This window comes from Homo sapiens, chromosome 10 (assembly GCF_000001405.40).
Source record: "Homo sapiens chromosome 10, GRCh38.p14 Primary Assembly".
In the NCBI taxonomy this organism is placed as follows: Eukaryota; Metazoa; Chordata; class Mammalia; order Primates; family Hominidae; genus Homo; species Homo sapiens.
The window spans coordinates 71,130,780-71,158,060 of record NC_000010.11 but is presented as its reverse complement, the minus strand read 5'-3'; the positions used below and the strand labels follow the sequence as shown (position 1 = coordinate 71,158,060).

The following is a 27,281-nucleotide window of genomic DNA, read 5'->3' as shown; positions in this document are numbered from 1 at the left end:
AGAGAAGTCCTGAGGTCTACAGTGTCACTCTTTCCTTTTGGGCCACAGGTGCTTTTCTGTAGATTTCACTTGAGCCACTGGGTCTCCTTATTGGTGCCTGACCTGTTTCCAGGGAAGTCTGGTGGGAAGGTTCAGTTTGCTGGTGTCCCAGGGTGCCTTCCCCATTCTAAGGCCTGTCCTACCTGCATTCCCTTACTGCCTTATGAAATGGGCCTGTTGAGGCCATTGTCTGTTTTCTCTGATTCTATTTCCAGTCTAGAGATGTTCTGCTTTGGTGCTGCCTCTTTATAACCATGTTTCAACTGCAGTTTTGCCACTGCCTCCTTTAGGCCAGCTGCAGCCATCTGTTAGGTGAATGTGACTGACCTTGGTCCTGCCTGGCCCCCATGCTATAACCTGGCAAGGGCTTCCCGACCATGTTGAACTCCATAGCCTTTGTGCTCCCTGGCTCAGTCCCTAAGGCCTGTGAGTCCTTAACCTGAGTCTACTCTCCCAGGACCCTGTCTATAGTGTCCACCACTGTTCCCTGGGTCAGCTTTCCTACTGCATCTGCATATGAAATTTTTTTCCATAAGAAACCACTTATCTTCCAGTTGTATGAAGCTTTCCTGTGACTGCTTATAATACCATTTAAGGGTAATCTTCCAGTGATGTTGACTACTATACCAAGAATATAACATGACATTTTTTATATTAGAACATCTTTGTCATGAATATATTCCCCCTTTCTGAGACAGTCTTGCTCTGTCACCCATGCTGGAGTACAGTGGCACAATCACGGCTCACTGCAGCCTTGACCACCTAGTGATCCTCCTGTCTCATCCTCCTGAGCAGCTGGGACTACAGGTGCACACTACCATACCTGGCTAACTTACGTAATTTTTGCAGAGGTGGGGTTTTGCCATGTTGTCCAGGCTGGCCTAACTCCCAGACTGGAGTGATCCAACCGTCTCAGCCTCCCATGCCTACTGGGATTGTAGACATGAGCCACTGTGCCCAGCCAAATTGTTTTCTAACTTCAAGAATGTATTGGTTACAAGCTCTTTAACAGGCATGTACTACTACAATGAAAGAACAGAATGCAACCACTTCCATGTGGAACATGCTCCAGACCTAGCCCTAAACTTAGTTCATATAAACTATGATGGTGTGGTGGTAGATATCTGCATGTATGCTGACCATGTTAATCTTAGTTTCCAGGTGATATATTGACAGATTGTATTGGTGTTGGATTCTGTGAAGGGATAAACATGCTTATAAACATTTTCCTATCTCTTATCTACTTTATTGCATAGAAGAATGGCCTGGGAGCTGGCCAAATGGGCCTCCCTCATGACTGAAAATTCCTGGGATTCAGTCGAATACCAAAAGTTTTCTCCAGACTTAAGACCTCATGGAATTTCTCTCAGCAGCTTTGTGACAGTTTTAGATCACAAATCATTGTGTGGTTTGACTCCTAATATATTCGAAGTTGTACAATCACTGCAACTCTAGAACATTTATCATCCCCAAATAAACTCCATGCCTGCTAATAGTCACTCTTCATTTTTCCCCCCAACATCTCTTTCCTGCAGCCATGAGTCTATTACTCTGATAGAACTTCTTTCACTTTCACTGGGGCCTCATTCTCCTGGAGTGACTAGCCTCACTTGGCAACTGTGGCGCTTGGGCATCCTTGCCATTTAGGCCCTGGTTTTTTGCTTTTCTCCAGGCTGTTTTTCTGCAGGGTTGTTACCTCTGATGTAAGGCCTGCTCTTAACTCCTCTACCTGAGGCCTCCATTGCCAACAACTGAGGGGAACAGACATAGTAGCTGTGGCCACTGACATTGAGACTGGCTATGTTGTTCCGAGTGTGGGAACTGACCCTTCTCCGGGAATATCCTTAACCTGATAAGGTTGGTCTCCTTTAGAACTTTGAATGTGAGGTCTTATTTTTTCCTTGGAATCTAAGACCCTATTTACATTCTTGCCTACACATAAAGAATGGACCTCTGGCATTTGTTAGAAAAAGTTGTTGCATACCTTACCTGAATCTGCCATTTCTGGCTGGCAGGGAAAATACAAATAAACCTTTATCCCTCACTGCCGTGGTCATCTTCTCCTGCCCCTGCTTGACTGGATCTTGTCTGCTCTATAGCTTTCAGTCTCCTGTAATACAAGGATGTCCTTGGGCTCTTGCCTCCATGGAGTTGAGCTCACAGGTCTAGTGGGGACCACTGGAGTGTAGTGGCCTGCAGGTTAGTGATGACCTGCCCTATCACCTGGTTGACTTTGATCTCCATTCTCTATGCTGCTGCTTGGCCCTAGTTTCCTGGGCTCATAGAATGAGGGGCTCATAGAAGAAGGGACCCATAAAAATAGTATCTGTCTCTGGTAGAATTTGGGGCCCCCAAGTAGAATCCAACTAGCCCATGGCCTGGCTTTTTTTTTCTTTTTTTTTAATAGCAGGTGGTCAGGGTTTCAGGTTATATGGGAAGTGAAGGATTTGTGCTTGAAGATGAATGCTGCCAACTAATCATAATGCCTGGTCACTTGTTATGAAGGCATTGAAGAATTGCCTAGTAGGTGAGACAGATTTAGGCTGTTTCACTATAGACTTCAATATGGAAACTGCAAAGCACCGTTGGGGTTCAGGGCGTAGTCCAGATCAGGCTACATCTGGGAAGAAGGGACAAACCAAGGATCCTGCTTTGGTCCCTCCCAGGAACATGGTATAAAAGCTGCTGGAAGAGAACTGGCATTGGCCCTCAGGGGGGACGTACTAACCAAGGAAGTCAGCCAGGAAGTTCACCTTCAAGTTAGCACTGGAGAGGGGTATTTGAGCTCATGCAGCAGAGCCCAGGTTGTGACCAAGGACAGGGCTTCTTGGGCCTTTATCTTTTGGGGATGTAATGTACAGTTATATAGATGTCAGGTGGCCTGTCGGGGGCCACCTTAGTCCTGAATCATGGGATTCCTATTCCTGGATACCTAAGCTTGGGCATTAGGTCTGCTACTCAGCCTGGTCAAGTTCAACTTGGACAATATGGCACATGGGAGTGAACATTTATCCCCTACATGCTGGCTCAGGTGTGATAATACATAATACATAGATGTTCCTTAGATCTATATCTTGGCCTATCTGTCTTGGAAGGCACTACTCAATAGCTGCATGGCAGTATGGGGATGTGGCCACAGTGGCTCCTAGAAGACTTCTCTTTGGACTTGGTCCTGGAGGGATGACACACATCTTAGGTTTTTGTCCCTCTAGCTTCTCCTAAAACCACCTTCTCCAGCTTCTGGTCCCTATGCCCTTGGGTTAAGATGGCTCTGTCTCTTCCTATCACTTCTCATGTGGCTCCTTCTGAATTCCCACAGACACTAGAGTCTGCCACAATAATCAATGGGGAAGGACAGCCTCTGCTTAAATTGACCCCAAGGTGGGTAGAAGACCAAGGGTTTAAGGGGACATTCCTTCTGTGACCTATAATGCTGAAGAAAGCTAGAACTAGATGAGAATGTGTTCATAGAAAAGCATGGGATGTAGTTGTAGGCATGTACAGAGTACGCTTGGTCAAGGTGTCCATGCTGAGAATAGCACTGTTTGGCTAGGGGACTTGGACAGATGCCAAAGCAAGGGGCCTGGGAATCTTAGAATAAGAGACAAACAAGTCCATAGCATAGCCTTATTTCTGTTAGTATCTTCATGCTTCTGAAGCCTGAAAATCTCCCAAGAGGGTAGCTCTTAAGTTTCTGGAACCTACAGTAGAGATGGTTGAATCAATGATGCTGGTTGGTTTATTTATTTTTTGGACAGTTTGGCTCTGTTGCCCAGGCTGGAGTGCAGTGGCGCGATCTCTGCTCACTGCAACCTCCACCTCCCGGGTTCAAGTGATTCTCCTGCCTCAGCCTCCCAAGTAGCTGGGATTTATATGCACGTGCCACCACACCCGGCTTTTTGTATTTTTAGTAGAAATGGGGTTTCACCATGTTGGCCAGGCTGGTCTTGAACTCCTGACCTCAGGTGGTCTGCCTGCCTCAGCCTCCTAAAGTGCTGGGGCTACAGACATTGAGCCACTGCATCTGGCACAATGATGCTGTTAATTTGTGGTATGCTAACATCCTTGGACTACAGGTGAGTGCTTCTACTTATTCCATCTCCCTGCTGTCATTCCCGCCAACCCCAGTCACCCACAATCAAATATACAAGGTCTGTTCCCTTGCACTGTCAAAGTGTCATGTGCATACATTAACTACACACCATCTTTGCTCTGCTCGGTCACACCTGACACACACCTATGTAGACATCTAGTCTCTACTGCATGTGGTACTCCATGGCATGCTGCCACCACACCATTTCCTGCCGCTCTTCCAGGAACAGGCACCCAATTACCGCCATCTCTGTCACTACAAACAACCCTGAGAACAGCTGTATATAGGTACCCTCATTTACCTCTAGGACAAATTTTTTTACTCCCAGGCATAGAACAGCTTAACTTGACTAAGGTGATACCAGATAGTTCTCCGGAATGTTCCCAGGATGATGCATGAGTATTCCTGTACCCCGACTCCTCCATGTAACCCAGCTGTCTAGCACTTGGTAGCCCAATGGGTGTGAAGGGATCTTATCGTGTTGCTTGCATTTGACTTTGAACACTTTCTGATGACAGCAATTTGAGTGTCCCTCACTTTTCTTTTGGGGTTCTCCTCTGTCTCCTTTTAGAGGAATTCTTCTCAGAGAATTCCTTATTGGCTTCAGATATGACACCTTAATCTATCTGAGCTTTATTCACAGTACCTTCCATTGAACAGAAGCTTCATTTTGATGCTGCTCAAGTCTTTGCTTATGGCTTGTGCTATTAGGGTCTGATGAAGCTGTGTCCTATCTTCGGGTCATATCATTTGTATTCTCTATTCTCTTCATTTTACAGAAATAACTCTGGCTAAGAAGCTTTCCTGAAAAGATTAGGAACATACAATGTGATGGTATCCAGTTACATTTTTCTTCTAGAGAAGCTGGCTTCCCTATACAAATTTGTCCTTCACCATTGATTCATGGTAGCTCTTTCATCATAGTTAATGGCCGTGGACACTTGGGCCTTGCTGCTTTGGTCCATTTGCCCTTGTGCAAATACCCCAATAGCTCTAGCGTGACCCTAAACGGACAGAGCCGGTCCCCTTCTTTCATACTGTGGTTGGTTTTGCTACTTATGGGTTGTCTTCCTCATGTGAATTTTAGAGTAAGCTTGTGCTCTTAAATTAAGCAAGATCTAACCTCACTGGAAACAAAAAACTAAGCAAGGATTTTAGAATTATTTTAAGGTTATAAACTTCTCTAGGAGGAACTAAGTCTTAGTCTGTATTCTAGGAACTGATTTTACCTGGATTGTCCTATTAGAACCTTTTCTAACTCCTAGGAACCATATAGATAAGAACACTCCCTTATATTGACTTGCTAAGTCTGCTAGATACTGAATGGCTGGATTACTTAGATCTTTGGAAAGTGCCTTTTCCTTCTTCACATATGAATGTAGGAAGACACTTGGGTAGATTTTTCTGAAGTCCTAAGATAAAAGCTAGTTGATCATGGTATAATCCTAAATACACTGTTAGACTCAGTTAGCTTACTTCTAGCTTAGTTTTTTATATCCATGTGTATAAGTGAAATGGGCTTAAGACACTACTTCTGGCTGGGAGTTGTGACTTCCGTAGTGGTGAAAGAATCATTCTGCCACAAATCAAGTCTGCAAGCTCTACCTTCTGGAATGACTGGGACACAACCAGGCCTGGAAATAATTTCTTCCAACTCCTCACACAAGCCCAGGATTGACTTTACCCATCGTGGTGATCTTCCTGTCAGCAGAGCTGATGTGTCCAAGTCAGGCTGATTCCAGAGCACTTCCCCTGGCACCCCCCAACACCCACACCCCTCCCACCTCAGGGGTTGTCTGGCAAATATCTTCTCCAGCATTATCTCCAGAGGAGTTTTTCAGGTTCAGACATAGCAAGGGTCTGAACTTATGGGACCATTTAAGAGCTTAGTGCCCATTATGTCTCTGGCTTTAGTCAAATAAGAACAGACTATGCTTTTCTAGATTATTCTGTACTTACAACGTTTTAGTAGCTTTTTTATAGCAGTATATTACTACATAAAGTAGACATGCAAAAACATGTTCCTATCACTAGAGATCACTACTATAATGGCTTAGTACTTTTCATATATAAAGATATCTGAAATGATACCAAACCGCAGGTACTCTCCTAACCTACTTATGTCTTTCACGTCAGTGAGTGCTCGTTCATATTCTAGACTTTCCCACTGACCTCTTAAGTATCCTTTATGGTTCATTCAGTTCTGAATCCAGTAACATGCCTTATATCTGGCTATATCTAGTCTCAATCTAGTTCCTTTAGATCTTTGGAGTCAGGGAAATAGTCCTGCAGATGTCTCACCTTCTAGATTGGTTTCAATGCTGCTCAATGTTGTCTAGCTTGTCCTTCTCTTATATCCTAGAGCCTAGAATTAGCATCTAAATGCTCAATGTAGTCTAGCTGAAAGTCTTGAATGTGAATCTATTACAGATGTTAGTGTTCTGTGTTGTATTATGTTAGACACTAATGACAGTACCTCTACTGGATTAGAGAACCAAGAGTCTGATCCCTCAGTTTAAATCATCGCCATGTGATTAGGAAGGAATTCAAAATGTTATTCCAGCATTGGACAAATATCCAGTGTCCAACCTCTGGCAAGCTATCTATATAAACTGATGATCCTTGCCTGAATGTGGGGTGCTATGCTTTTTAGAGACAACTCTAGCCCCAGCTACTTCTGCAGAGGGTTTGAGATACTTGCAGAAAGAGGTACGTCCTGGTTCTCCTGGGCAATTTACCATATTTCCTGCTTCTCCTGAATGAACAGTAGCTACTTCACAAAGTGATCCAATAGTAAGTGAATCTGCTCAGACTACGTGTGAGCAGAGGCCTGATAAGGACCTAGTTGACTCCCAGTAGCCTCTCTTAATAGAGCTTCTCAGTGGTTTTTATGCTTAAATTATCACTGAGATTCCCAAGGGTGCTCTCCTAGGAAAGACAGCTGCTTTGGAACAGATGGTTGCTTACAGCTGACTGTGCTACTCAACATCCTCTAAACATGGAGTCTCCATGCTGGAGTACTACTTCGTATGTGGCAGGGAATGGTAGGCCTGTGCCTCAGGTGAATGACTGTATGGGAATTGCAGACTTATGATCATGCCACTGACTTGGGTCAAGCCAACTTTTGAGAGTTTCACAGAATTTCACTCAGATCTGCTGCGGCTCACATCAGGCTGGTGCTCTGATTGCACCTATGAAGCCTCTGCAGCTGGCCCTCTTGACTCTGACTTCAGGTCCTGATGCTTTGGGAATGAGGACCTGTCACAGAAGCTGCTGAGAAGCAGATGCCCCTAGTAAATGACATAGGCTGCAAAACTCTGAGCTTTGCCTTGACAGTGACTTATCCCTGTGTCAAAGGGAGGAACTTTCTCTTTGATCTCTGTACAAGGCTATTCCTGAATGTTTCTGGCCCTCAAATGTCTTCCTGTGCTGGTATCTCTAGTACTTGGTGATGGGTAAAGCCTACCATGTATGGGAGGCCACAGTTGGCATCTCTGCCTGGCTTTTGGGGGCTGTTCCCCAGAAGCTGTCTTCACCGATCTTTCAGTGTGGTGGTAGTACTGTCTCTTACAAGTCCAGCATGTAGTGGCTGGGCCAAGAGAATAAGGACCTTGCTGTCATTGATCTTCATGACCATCTATATGCCTTCTCTATTTCCTAGTCCCCGTGCTTCTGGTCACATGACTGATCTCCCCCAACATGATATGAGTAAAGGCAATGTTGCTTCTGGCTTGAGGAATTGGAGTGGCTCTGCCTTCCCCAGGCTTTTGCCATGCAGAAGTGACCCTGCCTGGAGGCTCCACCTATTCTAGACAATGCAGCTGAAGACAGGCCATACCTAGGCCTACACTAGGAAGAGCCTTGCGCATACCACCTTACCCCCTTGATGTGAACAAAAGAAACCTTTGTCACACTGCCTGGATCTGAATCTGTTATGATGGCACTGCTTACTATTACCTGGACTGACGCTTGTCCTCATGGACTGGGAAGTTGTCTCCCTACCAACTTCATCACTGCCCATCTCCTTGCCTCAGCTGTGACAGGGAATCATTGCTGTTCCTGTGAACCTAGTTGCTCCCTGCAGCTATGACTTTGGGGCCCTTCTAAGCTTGGGGGTTGAATGCCCCAGTGAGACATGTCTCCTTTATCAGGTCCCTCCCATCCATGCTAGATCTCTGATGCTTAGTTTCTTTCTGGACTTTGTCGATGTTGGGCACCAGAGAACTACTTGTCATATTAACCTTGCTTCATTTGTCCTTGTTCCTGGGAAACAGTACATAGTCTTGTTTTCCTGGGTTCTTTCTTCTAAGCTCTTAGGCCACCTTCAGAAAGAGTTTAGACATTGTCATCTTCTTTGGTACAAACTAAAGACAGAACACCACTGGTTTTTCCATAGATATCTTGAGCTAACAAATATTACTTTCTCATACTTCTAAAGATGTCATCTTTATCTGTTAAACACCAAAGTTAGACCTTGGATTAAAATTTTTAAGGGAAAAACACTTGAGGGTTCTGCCACAAGAATATGGATAGAAAAGCACACTGTTTAAAAACTGATATTCCGTCTGCTTGATGTTCTGATGTTGCTTCTAGCCTTCATTTAGCGTATGGGGACTTAGCCAGGCATGGATCTGGTTCTATGACACACATGTAGACCTGGGGGCTGTTCAGCCAGTCATAGGAGCCCAAACAGTGCTCTTGGCCATTTGAATTGGTGTCTTGGCCTTATCAGAGGTAAAGACCTCTATCAGTACCTCCTGACCTGCCACTAGCTCACTGCTGCTCAAGGTTTCTCCCTGGGGCCTGCCCATAAGCTGGCCTGGGGCCTTCCTACTCCATGGAGAACCCCTGGAACTCCACTGATGGAGAATGACTGAGGCTGGATAACCAGGTCAACCAGCTCCTGCCTAGAAGGTACCACAGAGTGTGTACTTTATGCCCCAGGGGCCATCCTGTGGCCCAGGGCAGAAGAGCCTTTAGAAAAGCAGGAGGCTGTGGTGGGATTCCCGGGATTACTGCCTGAAGCCTTGCTATTGGGAGCCCCCAGCTGCCTGGGTGTAGGGGTAAGGGGCTGGGGATGCCCTGGGCTTGGATCCTTACCTCGCTCTTCCTGCACCATGTTTGGAGCCCTGCCCAGGCAACTTCTCTCACCTTTCCTTTGAGTCTCCATTCCTTAAAGGGGGAGGGCAGGAAAGGACACAGCAGGCAGCACCTGGAGATCCCTCCTTATGCCCTGGCTCACTGCCCTGCTCAGCATGTATGTGTGTGGGGGCTTGTCTTTGAGGATCATTGTCCTGGTCCCCCTGGCCTGTTCTGTCTTCTCCCAGGTGGGACTTCCTGACATCCTCTAACTCGGGGTTATCTCCATGGCCAGCAGCATGGAGGAAGATGTTTTGTGTCTTTGTCTGTGTTCTGGGTCTCCCAGTGACTGCTCTCCCTAATCTTGACAGGCTGCTGCTTCACTTAGACTCTAACCTCTCCCGTTTGCTCACATCAGTATTCATCAAGACTGATCTGATGGATGTTCCTTGTACTGGTTTTGGATGTCTAGGTACTAAACTGGCCTTGGACTACTAGGGTATGGGGCTGTGGTGGCTGTGGATGAGACACTTCAGTGTTTTCTCTGAACCCACTCTGAATACACAGATGGGGCAAATGTGGGTAAGACCCTGCATTTCTCATGATCTCACTCCTGGTTACCTACATGCAAACTTTCTTCCTCTTTTTGACATCAATTACCATCCTGAACTTTGGGTCACGTAGCTGAGCACTCTCCCCTCCCTGAAGGAGGCAGTTGTGTGACTGTAGCAGGGAAGGATTAATCCTCAGGCAGGGAAGCATCCCTAGGCAGTGGCTCACCAGCCTTCTTTCTGGCATCTGGCCTGTTCTGCCTCATATTGTTGAGGTTCTTATCTCTGGTGTTAGTTGGGGTACAATGGTGACCAGGGAAAATAAGCTGAGTTGATGGGATACTAGGAGTCCCCATCACTCCCTGAGGGTGGCCCAATCAGCCAGGTAGGATATATGGACATGCTTAACACTACATGTATAGTGATGCCAGGCAAGCTGCCCACAGGACTCTTATAACTGAGGCCACAGATCACCTACGTATAGAGGTTCTTAGACTAAGTCAAGGCATAGCACTATCAGATGCAGAGAGAAACTAGGGGTGATATTGGAGAAGGAGCTTATTTCATTCTTTCCCAACTTACAAGATTCACCAGAAGATAGGTTTAAGTGCTCAAATCCTCCACCTTGAGTCTCTTTGGAGAGACTGGGATGTTCTGTGGCAACTCCAGAGGCTTGGAAGGCTTTGGAAGCTGAAGGTCCACTTGCTGGCACTTGTCCTGAGCTGGTCCAGACTTTGGGACTCCTCTTTGAGATCCAGTGTCTGATTTCATGGGCATCAAGTCATGCCCATATAAAATATGCCAATCCTCGTGTCTAGACTGTCATTTCTATCCAGAAATAAGGCTGAAATTCCCTATGTCTGCAGGGAGAAAGCAAGTTATAGCCTTGCTGGAAGCACTGGTGGTTCTGAGTGGCATAACTCTTTCCTGTGACACTAAGTCAGCTGGTGCTAGGACCCTAGCAGCTAAAGTTTTCCAACTGGGCTATCCAGGGAGGACTGGGGCCAGATACAAAGGGGGCTGGGTGTTAGCCAGGAATCTGAGGATGTCTTTATCACATTGTATAAGGGGAGAACAAACGGTCTTGCCTGTATAGTATCCTTGGGCCTCTTGAGTCTTGTTCCTTCTCTTTTCTACCACCTCAAACGGGAGTGGCCTTGGGGATATAAGAAAGAAAAGTGGCTGTGGGGATGGGATTGCTGAACAGGGCTACATCGAGGTAGAAGCTGCTTTGCCTACAGTGTTCTAGACTAATATCCTAGGAAACAAGCATGAGAAGCCTAGAGGGTTCTGGGAAGATGTTAACTTCTGTGGGCTTCCTCACCCTAGCCCTAGGATGTGCTGAGGTAGAAACAAATGACCCAGGCAGAGGGCCTCTGCTGGGTATGGGTGACAAAGCAGGGCAGGGCGGTAAGACACTGGATCTCATGGGATCTGACTCTGGGTCCAGGCAGCATTTCTGGGGATGATGGAATCTGTTTAGACAGCAGAAATTGGGGAAAGAAAAGGGGAAAGAGGCCAGTAAACACCCAATGGTTGGTGTAGAAGTTTGAAGCTCTCTATAAGGACCTGAGGTCTAGCTTAACACAAAATAATGCAGAACTGTGGCATGGAACTAGCTTCAAACGGCTTAAGCCCAGACGGTTTTGTAGAGAAAACTGTGGGGAAATCGGGTCCATCTAGGTTCTCACGTGGCCCTCCCAGCCCTGAGACCTGTTAGTGACAGACAAACTTCAAGCATTATAACATCATAGTCTAGGAGATGGGAATAGGCTCCCAGGGCCAGACTGTCTATGGAGAGAAGTCTTGGGGTATCTCTCCTGGGTACTGTGGCCTCCCTAACTCTCTGCCTCCTCACAGGGAGATCTGTACTATTGGGAAGCCGTGACTATGCTCTCACAACATCCTAGTAGCATGGCTCTGGAGCTGGTCCTCTGTCCTGAGCAGAAGGTGGCTCTACATGAGGCTGTCCAAGCCATCACTTGTTCCTGGCCTGACCACATCTAAGACTAGGCTGAGATCACAAGTACATATATCCTACAAATACAGGGGTTCCTTATTTTCTCCAACTCGAGCCCCTTGAAAGGATAAGAGGCCCTGTGGGGAGAATAGGTAGGAGGCTATAGGTTAGAGTAGGGAGAACCAACCCCCTGCAACAGCTAGGTCTGAGGGTAAAGGTTAGAATGGTAGAGGGGGAAGTGCTGCTGTCTTAGACTGTGCCCAACTTGTGGGCATTCTTCAGAGCCATGCAAAGACTAGGTGGACTGATCTGGTCTGAAGCACTGGCAGCTATGAGATGCCACCCAACGTTAGAACTTTCCAGATTCTTTGTAAAAGGTTTTGGTGTTTCAAGTCAACAGTATGTGTTCCTACTTAAACCAGAATTTGTGTTGGACCAAGCTGGAGTTTGAAGCCAGACACTGCTGAGCTTGGTTGGGGGCCCTGATCTCTATGTAGACCTCAGCAGAGGATGACACTGGCCAGTTGTGGCCCTGCAGCTGGGCATCCTCACCCTGACACTGAACGGAACACGTGAGCAGTAGATTCCCCAACAGTCATTGCTGTGGAGCAGCCAGGAAATCTTCCCAGCAGGCATGCAGCTGGCACAGGAGAAAACTAGGGATCTTTCTTATCTTTCTCTGGGAGCACTGGTCTTTCCCACAAGCAGCATCTGATTCTCCCCTTGGAGTCCAGGACACACAGGGAACTAGAGACCCACATGACTGAGTAATGTGGGCTCCATTCAACTCTGAACCTGTCCAGGCTGGCCCATGGGATAGGTGGGGCTGTCTGGCTCTGGGAAGACATGCTGAGAAGACCAAGCCACCTCTGCTCAAAGGACTTACAGTTCTTGCGTGGGGCTCATCCCTATACTACATGACTTGGTTACTATTCCTTCTGAGAATCTGCAGTTGCCTCACAGACTAAACCTCTTGCTAAAACAAGACTTCAGCCTCAAGGCCCCTGGTTCATACTCAGCAGAAGTATCTTCCCACATCTGCCTTAAAGCCTCCCACATTCTTGTTACAGCTCCTGGACGTCTATTCAGGTAAAACCTCCCCTATCCACAGTGGCATTTGGGTTTCTGCTTGTACCTAGTTAGGTGTGGACCTACGTTGAGTACTGTCGCCCATTCTATCAGGGGTCCTGAGGGCACTGAGCAGCCCCTTCAGGCTGACCAGGCCAGTAGCTGAGTCCTTGTCTCTACAGAACCCAGGGCTCTACCAGGGGTGACTTTTCTGACCCCCCTTTTACCTCTGTAGGTTCCAGGACTCCTGGGGAAGAGTTGGCAGACTTGGGCCAAAGCCAACATGAAGAACCAGAAGTAGCAAACACGTATGTCTGCTAGAGGCAGATCAGGGCCTAGACTACTTATGCTACCCACTGGCTACCCGTGACAGGTTGAGGGGTGGGGTGAGATGTGCCTACAGGGCCTGAGGCTGTGATGTAGCCCTGGGGGCCCAAAGTCTTCATGCCTTCGCTATGGCTGAAGGTCAAGCCTCTTCTCTTGGGAGAGATGAGACCAGGAGAGTAGAAGACAATGTATTATATACTCCTGTTCCTGGACTAGCCTCTGAGGCCTGTGGCTAGAAGGGGTGCAGATGATCACAAAGGGTAAAGGGATGAGGGGGGCTGACAATTGCAATCTAGACTCCAGTGTGCCATCCTAACAAAGCCATGAAAGTCTTTTTCTTTTTGCTCAGAAGCAGGTACTGCCCCATTAGCCTAGTAGCAGTAGCCCTGCAGCCCAGGCTTTGTGTGGAAGCTGGCCTTCTCATGGTGGCTATGGTTTGGCATAGGGACATTCCCTCGGTGGCTCTTGAGTGAAGGCACTCCCAAGCATTTGCCTTGGAGACTGGATTATCTCTCCCTTAGCTGTGGTACAAGAGACTTCGGGGCTTTCATCCTATGTGAACAGGGTAAGGACCAAACCTGGGAAAGTCAAGGTTATATAGACAAAACTAGCCTTGCTTGCTATCCCTGGCCACCTGGATCTGAGTCCCTCTGCCTGTGTTTGGGGTATTCTTTACCCTCTATCTTAGTGGGAAGTAGCACTCACTTGCTCTTATAGCAACAGAAATTCCAATAACCTTTCTCCCAGTCCCTCTTGCAGGTAGAGAATAGACACGTGACCTAGGCTCCGTGGATCAGACGAATCCTTCCCAGACTTGGAATAGAAGCCAATGAGGCAAAGTTTCTAGGACTGGATACCTTCCCAACTGACAGTTGCAACAAGACCAAGCTTTGGGCAGCTCTGGCAATGGCCACACCTACATCCTGCCAGTGGGACAGCGTTTAGTGCTTGGTGGGGCCAATGTATCCTCAACCAGGCAGGTCTGTGGTGTGGCCTCGGAACCTCGGGCCCTAGTATTCCTGTGAGTTCTGCGGGCCACCCCTAGTTTTCATCATGAGTTCTTTCTGCTTAATCTGGCAAAACTGTTTTGTTGCTGGTGACAAAGAATGCTGGCTGAGAAGTTGCTAGCTGGGCTGGCTGCAGGAAACTGTCTTCAGGGAAATGACTGGTATGCTGGCCTGGTTGGGGCTGAAGTTGGTGACAATCCAGCTGGTACTAAGTTGAGGCTCCCACAGCCTGTGGCATGTGGAAACTAAACAAATTCTCACTGAGAATGAGATGTCCTTAAAGCTGTTCTGCCATCACCAGCTTAATCACCTTTGTCACACCTTTCATGTTTTAAAGGAGTAGCTTGCCACTCAAAGCCTCGCCTTTAGTAGACTGGTGGCTGCTGGGCCTCACTTCTCTTTAGAAGGCACCACAGTACCCTGGGCTGCTTTGGTTTTTGAAAATGGTTTATGTCACACTCAAGCCTCATCGGTGGTGATGTGACAGACTGGCAGCTTCGAGTGGTTCTCAGAGTAAGCAGAGACTTGGCCGGCACAGGATGGAGCTGCAAAGCCCTGCCACTTGGTTCCTGTGTCCCAGCAGGATGCTGGCATCCAAGCCTCTAGCGAACGAGGCCACTGTTTGGAACTTCCAGCAAGCCCCCAGCAGCAGGGGAATCTTGGTGGAGGCCTCCAGGGTTTGAGGGTAGAGCCAAGCTGCCTTCCACCTGTAGCTGCTCTTGAAGTGTGGTGCTTGCTATTTGGTCCCTACAGAAAGTGAATACTGCCTATGTGATCAGGGTATGAGTTGACACACCTCGCCATCACCGGGCATGCCCAGTGGTCTCAATTGAAGTCTTTTGTAGGAGGGCACCAGCAGTCCCTAAAATCATGTAAGTAGCATGAACAGTTGGCTGATGTGTACGCCTAATTCTATTGCACTGTTACCCACACCTACAACTCGTGCAGAAAGCCTAGGGACTCATAAGTGGCTCTAGACAACACACTGGTATCAGCTGGATAGACTGCTATGGCATTCTAGCCCCATTCAAGGTGACCCTGAAGGACCATCGGGAAGGGATCTTCCTAAAGGGCAGGACTTTGCACAGGCCACTGTCTCTTGCCTAGAAGGGTGCAGTCTAAAATGAAGATCTACATAGATCTATGGTTGGAGGCTAAAGATGTGACTGGCTGGTCATGGACTTGGAGCAAGATTACATGAATAGTGACAAGGAGGTTTAGGAAAGGAATGTACAGATTGGGGGCCTTAGAACCGATTCCAAGTGTGAGATCTCTTGTGAAAGCTCATGAAGGTATGACTCTAGACAAGGATCTTGCTAAATGAGTGGGGCTCCTGCCCTTAAAATGGTCAGCTTCCTTCCCTAGTCAACCCTGTCCTTGCTTGAAGGAGTCATGGATGAGCAACCATGGGAGGAAGGAGTTAAGGTGCCCCGCATGGCATCTGTAACTTGCCTTTCTCCCAAGGGCTGAACTCTCAGCTGCTAAGACCAACTTGAAACAGCGACCCTGGGCCCCCTAGTAAAGCATCTTAATACTGGGAGACACAGCCATCTACCAGTCCCCATTTGCCTTCTACCATGGAGTGGGAGGGTACTGGCCATTTGTCATGACCCAATATTCCTTGGATTTATACCTGTCCCTGCCTGACAGGCTTGCTTGAAAAATACGATCTGTGAATTTGACATTCAGCTTCATTGTTCACCATACAGCATTGCAACTGACAAAGGGACTCCTGCCTCAGCACAAGTGAATCGATAGGCAGAAGCCCATGGCTATTGTGCACCTCGACTCCCAGGAGCAGCTGACTCTATAGAATGGTGAGAAGTCTTCCGAAACCTCCATTATGGTGCTACCTGGGATTCACTGCTTTGGGAGGCTGGAGTACTGTTAATAGAAGGGGTGGCATGTGTTCTGAACCAATGACTGTGATAGTATATTCCTCATATACAGACTGCTTGGACCCAGATACTCAACAGTAGAAACAAGGTACCTCTCAATGTAACAGCTAAAGTCCTACTCCTAACTTGACTTGCCCTCCTGGGTTTGTGGATTCTGCTAGTTTTAGAAGTCTTAGTAACTTAGGGAAGAATGCTTCTACCAAGGGAACACAACTTTATCACTAAAGCAGAAGTGGGGACAGCCTCTGGTCACTTGCACCTGCCGCTTTGAACAGGCAAATGATGGTTACAGAGCTGGCTGGGGAGTTTGCGTCAAAGATCGCCCTCTCCGCAGTAGAGGCAGGGGAAGTAGTCCAGGGAGTCCCAGGCCAACCTTCTGCCACTCAGGGGTGGGTGAATAGATGACAGCCTAACCCTGGCCATACTACCAAGGGTATACATCAGTAGAAAGACTTCAGATCATTCCACCACCTAAATTAGCTGAAGATGTAGATTAAGGGAAAGGAAACAAATAACCTAGAACTGTTCCTTCTAGGGCTCCTGGGGGTTGTGGGAAGTTTGAACAGTAAGAATCCAGTATTCTTTGCCTCCTTGTCCTGAGGAACAGCCAGGACAGTGCCTGGCCTGCCCTCCTCACTCCAGCAGTGCTTTGCTTAGTCCCCCAGACACAAACCTACTTCGGCCTGTGGTAAGGAATACCACTCCTGTCTTTGACCTCAGTGCCAGGTGGGCTAGAGGGCTCTGATGGAAACTTAGCCATGGTGTGAACTTGATTGCCAAACTTCAGCTGGAGGTGGAGGTACCAGCTGGCGATAAGGCCTTGGATAAGACGATCCAGGAGAGGACAGTCACACGCTCTCTATTCACTGCTGCCTCTTGTGTCTGCCCTGAATATCTAGGGCAGAGCTGGATAGAGCTGCCCAGATGCAGCTCATGTCTTTAAAAGCTTCCTAATTGGTCTCTGGGTTTTCATTCCTGTTCTCTTCCCATCTATCCTCAATGTTTCAAGTGTAATTGTTATAAGCACACAACATGGGTCTTCCCTGACAGCCCATGACTCCTAGTAGAAATTCAGATACTGTCTAGCAGAGCCCTGACTCCAATCACTTGCTTCCAGAAACAATTGTCTCACCCCTTTATATCACCTGGGTTATTCACTGTGCATAGAACTCCAAGGCACCCTGGTGCCCAGGAGATAAGAGCAGCAGTGCTTAGTATGGGCTGGGTGTGAAGTCTGGAAGACTCAATCCACTGTTTCCGACTGAGGAAGGTAAGGTAGGAACTGCACCATGCCTCGCTGTGATGCTCCTGTGAGTGGGGCTTGTCGAGAGAAGGTGACTATTAGCAGGGTATGGTGGCTCATGCCTGTAATCCCAGCACTTTGGGAGGCTGAGGTGGGTAGATCATGAGGTCAGGAGTTTAAGACCAGACCGACCAACATGGTAAACCCCCTCCCCCGTCTCTAGCAAAAATACAAAATTTAGCCAGATGTGGTGGGGTGCACCTATAATCCCAGCTACTTAGGAGGCTGAGGCAGGAGAATCACTTGAATCTGGGAGGCAGAGGTTGCAGTGAGCTGAGATCATTCCACTGCACTCCAAGCCTGGGCAACAGACTCCGTTCCCCCCCAGAAAAAGTGACCATCGCTAATACCTACCTGGCACTTAGGGTGCTGTTATGCATTTGCCATGTATGAACTCATTTGGTCCTCACAGCCACATGGAAAGTACTGTCCTCTTACAAGCGAGGACACAGAAGCCTAGAGGAGTCATTTGCCTAGGCTTACATGGTTGGGAAGTGGTAGAGCCAAGACTTTATTTCAGGCTGTCTAGTCCCAGGGTATATACTTCTTCCCCAATATCTTATGAGAACTCAAATATAGAGCCCAGTTGACAGAACCTTAGCACCCATCTCTTAACATTTCACAAAGCTTGTTTTGTCACTTTATACCCTATCACCCATTAATATTTTTTTTTTTGTTTGTTTTTGAGATGGAGTTTCACTCTGTCACCCAGCCTGGAGTGCAGTTGTGTGACCTTGGCTCACTCCAACCTCCATCTCCTGGGTTGAAGTGATTCTCCTCACTCAGCCTCCCAAGTAGCTGGGATCACAGGTATGTGCCACCATGCTGGCTAATTTTTGTATTTTTAGTAGAGGTGGGGTTTTGCCATGTTGGCCAGGCTGGTTGCATTTCAAAATAAGTTGCAGTCGTCTGTATACTTTCCCTAAATACTTCAGCATACATATGAACTGGAGTTTGAGATTTCAGTTTTGTTTTTTGATGTAAAATTGACATGAACTTATGCTTTCAACCACCATGCTCTACTGCTGTGCTCAGGGAACACAAGACAGGCTAGGCCATCAGATGGTAATTTTGCAAGTGTTCACTGAACTGTCATATGCAAGAGGACTCATGGTTATGAAGGTACAAGAAACTCCCTGCTACGGGAGCTCACACCAGATGCAAAATTGAGCAGCACCCAGTTTGGAACACGGAGACACAATGGAAGAACAAGCATGAGGCAATCCACACAAAATCAGGGAAGGTTTCGCGGAGAAGGTGCTGGGTGGAGTTTTGAAGTAGGACACAACTGGCCGGGAATGGCATCTCAGGTGGCAGGCACTGCAAAGCCAGGGAGGTGTGAAGTGGGGTGGCTTACACAGCTGCAGGTAGCCTGGTGTTGCTGGAACATAGAATGGGCATGGGAATGTGGTTCTCTATTGCTGCAAGAAATTACAAACGATGACTGCAGACTTGGCTCAAAACAACGTGTACTTGTAGTTTTGGGGGTCAGAAGTCTGAAGTGGGTCTCACTGGGCCAAAATAAAGGTGATACCAGGGATCCCTTCTGGAGCCCCAAGGGAGAGATCTGTTTCCTTACATTTTCCAGGATCTAAAAACTTTCTGCAGTCTTGGCACTCGGCCCCCTCCTGTCTTCAAAGCCAGTGATGCTGGTGGCATCCTATGCTGCATCATGTTGGCATTGCTTTCTCTGTCACATGGTATTTAGCTCTCTTCTTCCATTATGAGGACCCTGGTGATTACACCTAGGGCTCACCTGGATAATCCAGATCATCTCAAGATCTGAGCCCCTTTTGCCATGTGAAGTAACACAAGCCTGGGTTCCAGTTGTCAGGATGTGAACATCTTTGTGGGAGCCAGTATTCCACTGGCCATGGAGGGACTGGGTGGCAGGGACACTTAGGGCTATGTGAGCTTGGTCTTGGGCTGAGCCTCCTGGGAGGAGGCAGCTTTGGATGGACTTGACCTGGCAGAGAAAGGGCTGAGTGGCATGAGGAGAGGGGAATAGTCCAAGTCTTCTCTACTTGTCAGGCTTGGCATGGAGGATGAATTTGCAAACTGAACAAAGAATGAGGTGAGCCTGGCTGGCGGCCAGGTGCAGTGCGGGGAGCAGCCAGTGTTGAGCTGAGTGGGAGATCTTCCAGGGAGTGAGCCGGGGACCACAGCAGGAGGGCGGGGCTCTCTACTCGTGAGGGTTAAGACAAGTCTATTACTGTTTCCTTGTCACTCTGTCACCCATCTAATGGCCATCGATACTAGTTGAATGAGAATTGATGGGGAGATATAGATTTAATTAACCCCAGTGTCAGCGGCTGCCGGGCCACCAGTTTGTGTGTTAATAGAGCTGCTGCCCGGCCTCTCCTGGGCTTTGGCTGGGAGCCCGAGGCCAGAGGAGCAATTCTGCTCGGCAGCGGAGGTGGCCCGGCAGAGGGAGGAGAAGCAGGAGCTTGGCTTGGGCTGCTGCTGTCTTCCACTGAGACCTGGCAGCCACCTTGTCGGTCATGACTGGGCCACCTGGCTCTGCTCTCTTGGCTGGAGATCTGAGCAGGGTGAGGAGGAGGACCCAGAGCCCACTGTGCCTCCTTGGCCTGAAGACGAGCGCCCTGGAGGTTCTACCTGGCATCCAAGTCACTCAGTGCAGCTCTGTTCTTGGTGGCCCCCTGCTCAGTGCCTGGGACTGAGACCCCCAGCATAGTGTACATTCTCCATGCCTGAACTCTCCCTGTCCCTCTGTTTTTCTTGGTCTAGATGCCACCCATGCTCGCAGCATGCTCCTTGGGTACCCGCCCTCCTGTGTTACCCACCCCAGCCCCACCTTCACTTTATTTCTTGATGGGCTTTTTCATAGCTGCCTTGTGTGCTGGCTTGACCCCTCAGCTGTGCAATCAACTGAGCATGACTGTGCTGGCAGTGGTGCCAGGAGGCTGCCCCTGCCTTGGACACCCATCCTTTGTGTAACAGCAGGGCCCATCTTCCCATTCTATAAAATGGGAGTTTGCATAAGATGAGTGGCCCCAAGCAGGCAGTGCTGCTGGGCACCCAGCTCCTGAGGCCCACTGTCTGGGCTTCTGACTTTCTCTTGTGTAAGGTCCCATGGTGGTGACTGGTAATGAGGGGACAGGAGGGGGAAGGACTCTGTTCTCTTTGGGATGGTAAACTCGCAGCACAGGAACCCTGTTGGTTTCACTGAGGACCGTGTGCCCAGCATGGTGGAAGCTCCATATTTGTTGAATGCACACTGCGATTGGGCCTGCCCCAGGGGCTGACCATGGAGAGTCAGGCCTCTTGAAGATCTGGATCACGCCTATGGCCTGGATGAGACTGGCTCCCTTGGCAGGGAGAATCTATTTCTAACAATCTCAGCTTTCCACTCACGGTTCTTTGCCTCCACAGCTGTGTGACCTTGGGCAAGTCACTTTATCACCCTAAGTCTCAGGTTGTGGGCACAAAAATAGTCTTTCTCCCAGGTGTGACACAAGATTCAATGAGGTGGTGAACAGGCCAGGCTCTAGGATGTGCGTTTTGGTCAGTGTCAAGCCCCTTTTCCCTGGAACTGGTTCCCTACAGTAACTGCCACCCACCGGCTTTGGCAGGGAGGGGATGCTGGAGCCTGGAATCCAGAGCCCACTCAGGCTCTGTCCTCCAAGGACCCCAGACCACTCCTGATGAGCAGGCATTGGCCTACCCTGTGGCATCACAATAGGGAATATCTGTGTGTGGACTTTGACAGTGCTTAAGAACTGACAGACTGATGCATACATCTCCTTGTCAAATCAGGCCTGGGTCGGGGCCTGCTCTTTGAGTTGAGGGGTGTGCTCGTAGCTCCCACTGGCCACTTGCTTCCTAGAGTGTCTGGGCACTGGGGCAGGGGCCACGCTGACTCTGAGGCAGGTGTGTGGCAGCAACCACTTGGCCCGCTAGCACCCAGTGTCTGTCTGGCAGCCTCCTTCCCTGCTTCACACTTCTGCTGCCTTTCATTTTCAGCTCTGATTGGTTTTCTTGTTTTAACACATACCCCAGGCTCTGTCTTTGACCCCGATGATGTATTCAGCTGCTCCCTGGGACTCCAGCTGCCAAGCTCGTCTGGAGCTGCTGGGAGTAGGGGAGAGAGGGGCAGTGGTGGAAATTACCCTCTATTCCAGGCTCAGTGGGGGTGGGGGACGCCTTCCTCAGAGTCTGGAGGTGGCTTGTGGCAAAGCAGTGAAGAGCAGGTCCCCTGGTGTGGAAGGATGGGGGGTTGGGGACTGTCAGGCTGTCACAGGAAATGGATTTTCCCTCCCTGGGCCTCCGATTCCTCTTCCATACAAGAGGATGTGGTGGTTGTGGACTGCTCATGTCTAAGAGATGGAAAGTCAGAGTCCTCGAATGAATGGGACATTGATTTCCCTTCGTGCCCCCTGGATGTGCCTGCTGCAAATGTCTGCCTGCTGCCGTGAGGCGGCCTCTGGAGAATGGGCCAAGCAACAGCATTGAATGCCCTGGGGCTGCAACTGGAGGGAGGGCCTAGGCTGGGGAGGGCAACAGAATGACCAGGGGTGACCTCCTCTGGACATTTGGTGGGAGGTCAGGGTGTGATTTGCATGAGTAAAGCACCTCCTGGACCTGTAGCCCTCAGAACAAAATGGAGCCCCTGTCCTGGTTCCTGCCAGGCTGAGGATGGCTATACCCAGATGTGGGGGCCAGGGTGTCCAGTGCCCCATGGTGCTGTGGAGGCATCGGATATCTGGCTGAATGGCCTCTCTTCAGACAGGTGTCTGTGCTTGCTGTCTGAGCCTGGAGACCAGGGAGGTCATTAAGTCTGGGGGGGTGGGGCTTTTCATGCTTCATGTTCTCTCCCACTTCTCTCCTGATTTTTTTTTTCCTTAAGTTTAAAATGTATAACCAATACATTGTTGTGGTAACAGATGACACAATCCAATAATAAAGCAGTTGAGAAAATACCAAATTCACCCTTAAACACACCACGGGCACATACATACACGCTGGTTATATATTTGTTACGGATCGTTTGTCCCCTCCAAAATTCATATGCTGAAGCCCTAAGCCTTTGTGTGGGTGTATTTGAAAATGGGGCCTCAAAGGAAGAAATTAAGGTTAAGATTATAAAGGTGGGGCCCTGATCTGATAGGATTGATGTCCTTGAAAGAAGACACAAGAGCTCACTCACAGAGGCAAAGCCGGGGGAGGACACAGCATGAAGATGGCCGTCTACCAGCCAGGAAGAGCCCTCCCAGAACCCGAATTTGCTGGTACCTTGATCTTGGAATTCCCAGCCTCCACAGCTGAGAAAATAAGTTTGTTTACACAACCTAGTCTGCAGTATTTTATTGGAGCAGTCTGAGCTAAGACAACATGTGTATATAAATAAAACTAAATGGAAATATACTTTATCCTGTAACTTGCTTTTGTCAAGGCAATAGTAAACTTGTAGGCATTCATACATTCTGATGTTTTTCTTCTAATGAAACACCCAGAGACAGGTGCTGTGATACACCCTTGGTTGCGTACACACGTCTCACAGCACCCAGGAGTAACCTGTCATGTGCTCTCCTTGTCTCCTGTACATGATGCCCCTCTCCCACACTGCCTCCTTCAGGCTCTGCACCTGCGGTAATAACCCCGCAGTAGGGGGAAGCTGGGAGGAGCCCAAGTGCTTTGCAACTCTGCTACCAGTTGTCTGTTTGGCCTTGGGCCAGATGCTGCCCACCCTGGCCTGTTTCACCATCTGTGAAGACCCTTCTGTGTCTGACAGACTATGATTCAACATGCACAGGTGTGTACTTTTGAGGGTATTTCCCACAGGTGAGCTGGGCCAGCCCTGATCCTGGGGACAAGGGACTGGTGTTGAAAGCTATGTGACCATGCAGGGGCTGTGACAGAGCTCCAAGCAAGTGGGGGGAGCAGCTGGGCTCACGTCCATCTGAGACCCTGCTCAATTTGGCAGTGGCCCTGAGCGGTCCATGTTCAACCCTCATCCCTTCTGCATGTGGGGCTGGGGCTGGCACTGGGTGGGGCCCAGGGACAGAGAGGAAAGAATCTGAGGACTTGGTGTTCTAGGCCAATTCTCTTCTTTCTAGCTGTGGGACTTCTGGAAAGCCTCTCTGAGCCTCATTTACTTCCTCCTGAAAGTTGGAGCATTGGCGACGCATAATACCCAGGTAGTTATTAAATGCCTTGTTAATTGCAAGGGGCCGTTTGGCTATTTTCTTCAGTATAGAACCTCAGTGGCAGCACCATGGTCTCAGGCAGGGCCCAGCTGGCTTTGTCTCCTCCCTGCTGTGGGTCCTTCAGTAGGAACCATGATAATGGTAAGAGCCCCAAATGCTAAGTCCTCACATGCGTCAGGGACTAAGCTCAGGAAGGGGGTTGCCAGTGGGATGTCAGACAGGCTCCTGCATTCTGGGGCTTGATGCCTGACCTAAGAGGCCAGATCTATATCCTGAGTTGGCAGAGAACTGACAAGTACAAGATATGCTGTTCCAATGGCCCAGCCCTTAGAAACTCAAGGAGATGGAAGGGCACCCAGGCCAAGGAGGCTTCTCGCTGTGGGGTAACACTGAGCTAGGGCTTGAGGGACAAATAGCACTTAGACGTGGGGAAAGAAGCAGAGAGGGGGCTCCTGGTAGAGTGGGGAGGCAAGTATATCCCAGGAGGGCCTGGTGGTGGAAATGACATGGCCTGCTATTCATGCAGAGAGAAGAGAAAGGCTTGTCTCATTAAGTCCTGGTACTGTGGGGTGCCTGGGGCTTGGAGGATGAAAGCAAAACTCCCAGCTGTCCCCTGCTCCTCAGCAGGACTGTCCCTACCCCTCATGCAAAAGGACCACCCCCTGTTCCTGGGCCCTGGTCCTTTAAGCCCTTGCCTCCAGGCAGCCAGTCTACCCTACCCTGCCCTTCCCAGGGTACACGTGCAGACTCTGTCAGAACATCTCAGTCCAAGTCAGTAGAAAATGGCTAAAAAAGTGAATAATAGCAACAAAATCATGTCATTTTGAAAGATGAAAGTAAACACCAAGAGAAACAGCTATGAGCATTAGATGTGGCTGCCTCTGGGCAGCTGGACTAAGGGGCGGGGACGAGGGGGGAGCAGGGGGCCACCCCCTGGTGTGGCTCAGGGAAGGAGATTCTCATTAACTTCAACAAAAATTAACAAATCTCTCTGGTTAACCTAAATCCCTATTAGGTGGGAAGGCCATCTCTTGGTGTCCTTAGAACAAAGTTGGGTGGCAATATTATAGCTTTGTTGGGGGGGGGGTCCCTTGGAGACTCTCCCCTGGCTGACAATGGGGAGAAGTCCTCAGCCCTTGAGCTTATGGCCAACAGAGGGAAGAGTTGCCTTTGCTCTTCTAGGCTCCAATCCTGATCAACACAAATAAGGTGGAAGCCCAGAGCTCAGGAATCTCCTGGGATCCTCCCCCAAGCCTCGCTGTGACGTGGGAGGGCTATGTGTGGTCTCGGAGCCATGCCATACCTGGCTTCAGCCTTGGTTCTCCAGCCACCAGCTCATTCATTTTGGGCAAGTTATGTCACCGCTCAGTGCTTCCTCAGTTTCCCCATGGGTGAAGCAGGTCTGCTCACTTTCCCCCCTCAGGGTTTCAGGAGGCATAAACAAGATGCAGCCTATGACACACGGAGCCTGGTATGTCACAGGCACTTGACACATGTGAGCTGTTTGCTCTCTAGATTTTGGAAGTGCAGATGTTTATGAAATACTAGGATATCGATGCTGCACATAAAAGGAATCGGAGAGATCCTCTTCGTTTTGTGTGGAGGCAACCAAGGTTCTGAAAAGCCTGAGGAGAGGAACCTGGAGAGCGATATTCAATCCCCCTACCACACTCCCCAGCAGACAGGTGGAGCTGGGGACGCTGGGAAGTGACTTCGGAGCTGTGCGTGGACTTGGGGCTGTTGGGACAGGGGAGAAGAGGGAGGATGGAAGAGAGGGAAGGAAGCAGGAAGCAGGTGCCATGGAGGGTGGAAATGGGCTGCCCTGAGCTTAAAGGACGCTGGGCTGCTGAGTGTGTGGCAGGAAGTGGCTGGAGGGGGTGTGTGCTGCAGCCTGTTCAGTGCAAGGCCAGAGCTGGCTGGGCAGACAGAGCCTTCCCAACTGCCCACACCCTCAAACTATGCCCAAGCCTGGGATGGGGACTGAGCAGCAGCTGCGCTGGGGCCTGAGGGGCGTTGTGGGCAGGTGTGGGTGTGTGGTGTGGGGGCTGCTGTCACAAATTCTGAAGGTTGCAGAGCACCCTGGGGGCTTGTGGCCTGGGGGTGTCACGTGATGTGAGTGACCTCCAGCCACAGAAAGGGGTGCCTGTAGGGACAGACATAAGTTTCCTTCAGAAGTCAGCTGCCCTCCCAGCCAGTCCCACAAGGCCTGCCTAGTCTCAGAGCTCAGAAGACAGGTGCTGGAGTCTTCTCTGTGACTGGGCCAGTACCAGGCCCCCAAATGTCTTTGGGACTCCCAAAGCGGGCAAGGAGGAAAGAATGTGTCTGAGGAGCAAAATGTGTGTAGGGCAAGGAGGGGGTCCAGGATTTCTACACAGGAGGGTTCAAGGACAGCAGCTAACCCCGGGGCTGGTAGATGCTTGTCTTGAAGCTGCGTTTGTGTATTCATTCAGGGGGACTTGGGGGCCTGATGGAGATTGAAGGAGATAATGGAGCCCACTGAAGGGGAAGGGCTTTTATATATGTCCCGAGTGCTAGGGTGAGGGGTGGCTTTCAAATCTCCAGAGCTTGGCAAACCCTCATGCTTCTCCTTGCCTAGGAGCTAGGAGGAATCTGGCTGGTGGGACCGGGTCACTCCTCCCATGCTGCCCTACCCTTCAGGGCTGGCCCCACCTTAGGAGGAGGGAGAGCAGAGGCTGCATGGAGGTGGGAAGAGGTGGCTCTGTGCTGGAACTAAGAACATTTTGCCACCCACTTGCTGTATGACCTTGGGTTTGTCACCATCCCCCCGTACCCTGCCCTGGGACCCTATTTCTCAGACTAACATGAAGGCAGGTACACTTGAATACCTCCAGGAACTCTACCAGTCCAAGTCCAGCCCAGAGAGGGGCACCAAAAGGGACAAGGCAGGCCCAGGGCACGACTGGTAGCTGCCCACCTTGCAGGCATCAGGAGGTAGGCAGGGGCAGGAGCCATCTGTGGGCTCATCTGAGCAGGCATCTTCTCTTCCTGGAGTCCTTGGGAGATCTAGGTGACTTTGAACATGAATCTCAGAATCATGGAATCCAAATCGATAGCAGAGTGATCTGCTGCAGCCTTGTACCCAGGTCAGAAGCTAGCCAGGCAGCTCCCAGCCTGGGTGTGGACCTTGTAACTCTTAGGCAGCCCGCGGCTTAGAAAGTTCTTTTCTGTGAGCCTCAGCTTCCCTTTGGTAATTATATCGGCTGAGTCTCGTCTAGTTGGCTGCAGCCAGAGGCACCGGTCTGATCTCTGTTCTCAGGCCAGCCCTGCCACGGCTAGTATCAGTGTCACATCCCCTGGAGTCCTCTCCAGGTGAACATCGGGCTTTTCCTCATGATGACAGCAGGACGGAGCGGAGTGGAACCAATCCCTCTTGGGACCTAAGACTTTTCCTTGGCAACCAGGCACATCTTGAATTGGCATGTATTTTTCCGCATAAATTACTGCTTTTAACTCGTTATCTCTCCCAAGCTCTGCTTATTCACATTCTTTCCCCCAGAAAAGTGCAGGATTTTACATTTACCCTTCTTAACCCTGTTTCAAGCTGTCGAAATTTTTTTGTATCTTGATTCCAGCATGCCACCATATGAGCTTTTTCACTCCCACCCTTGTGTCCTCTGTAAATCTGATAAGTGGCCTTCTGTGCCTTTATTCAAGCCACTGATGAAAACATTAAACAAGACCTGGTCAAGTTCATAGAGAGCCCTGTCATCTCTAGAGAACCCTCCAATTTCATATTGATTCATTCATTAGGTCTCTTTGGACATGGTT

The 27,281-nt window shown here is 49.3% G+C and overlaps 1 annotated feature.

The window, feature by feature from the left end:
* Positions 24,908-25,461: an enhancer, noted in NCBI's record as "H3K4me1 hESC enhancer chr10:72892357-72892910 (GRCh37/hg19 assembly coordinates)". NCBI's record gives its function as "activates a minimal SCP1, AML or CMV promoter by ChIP-STARR-seq in naive H9 embryonic stem cells {active_cell/tissue: H9 hESC(naive)}" and the evidence as "EXISTENCE:reporter gene assay evidence [ECO:0000049][PMID:30033119]".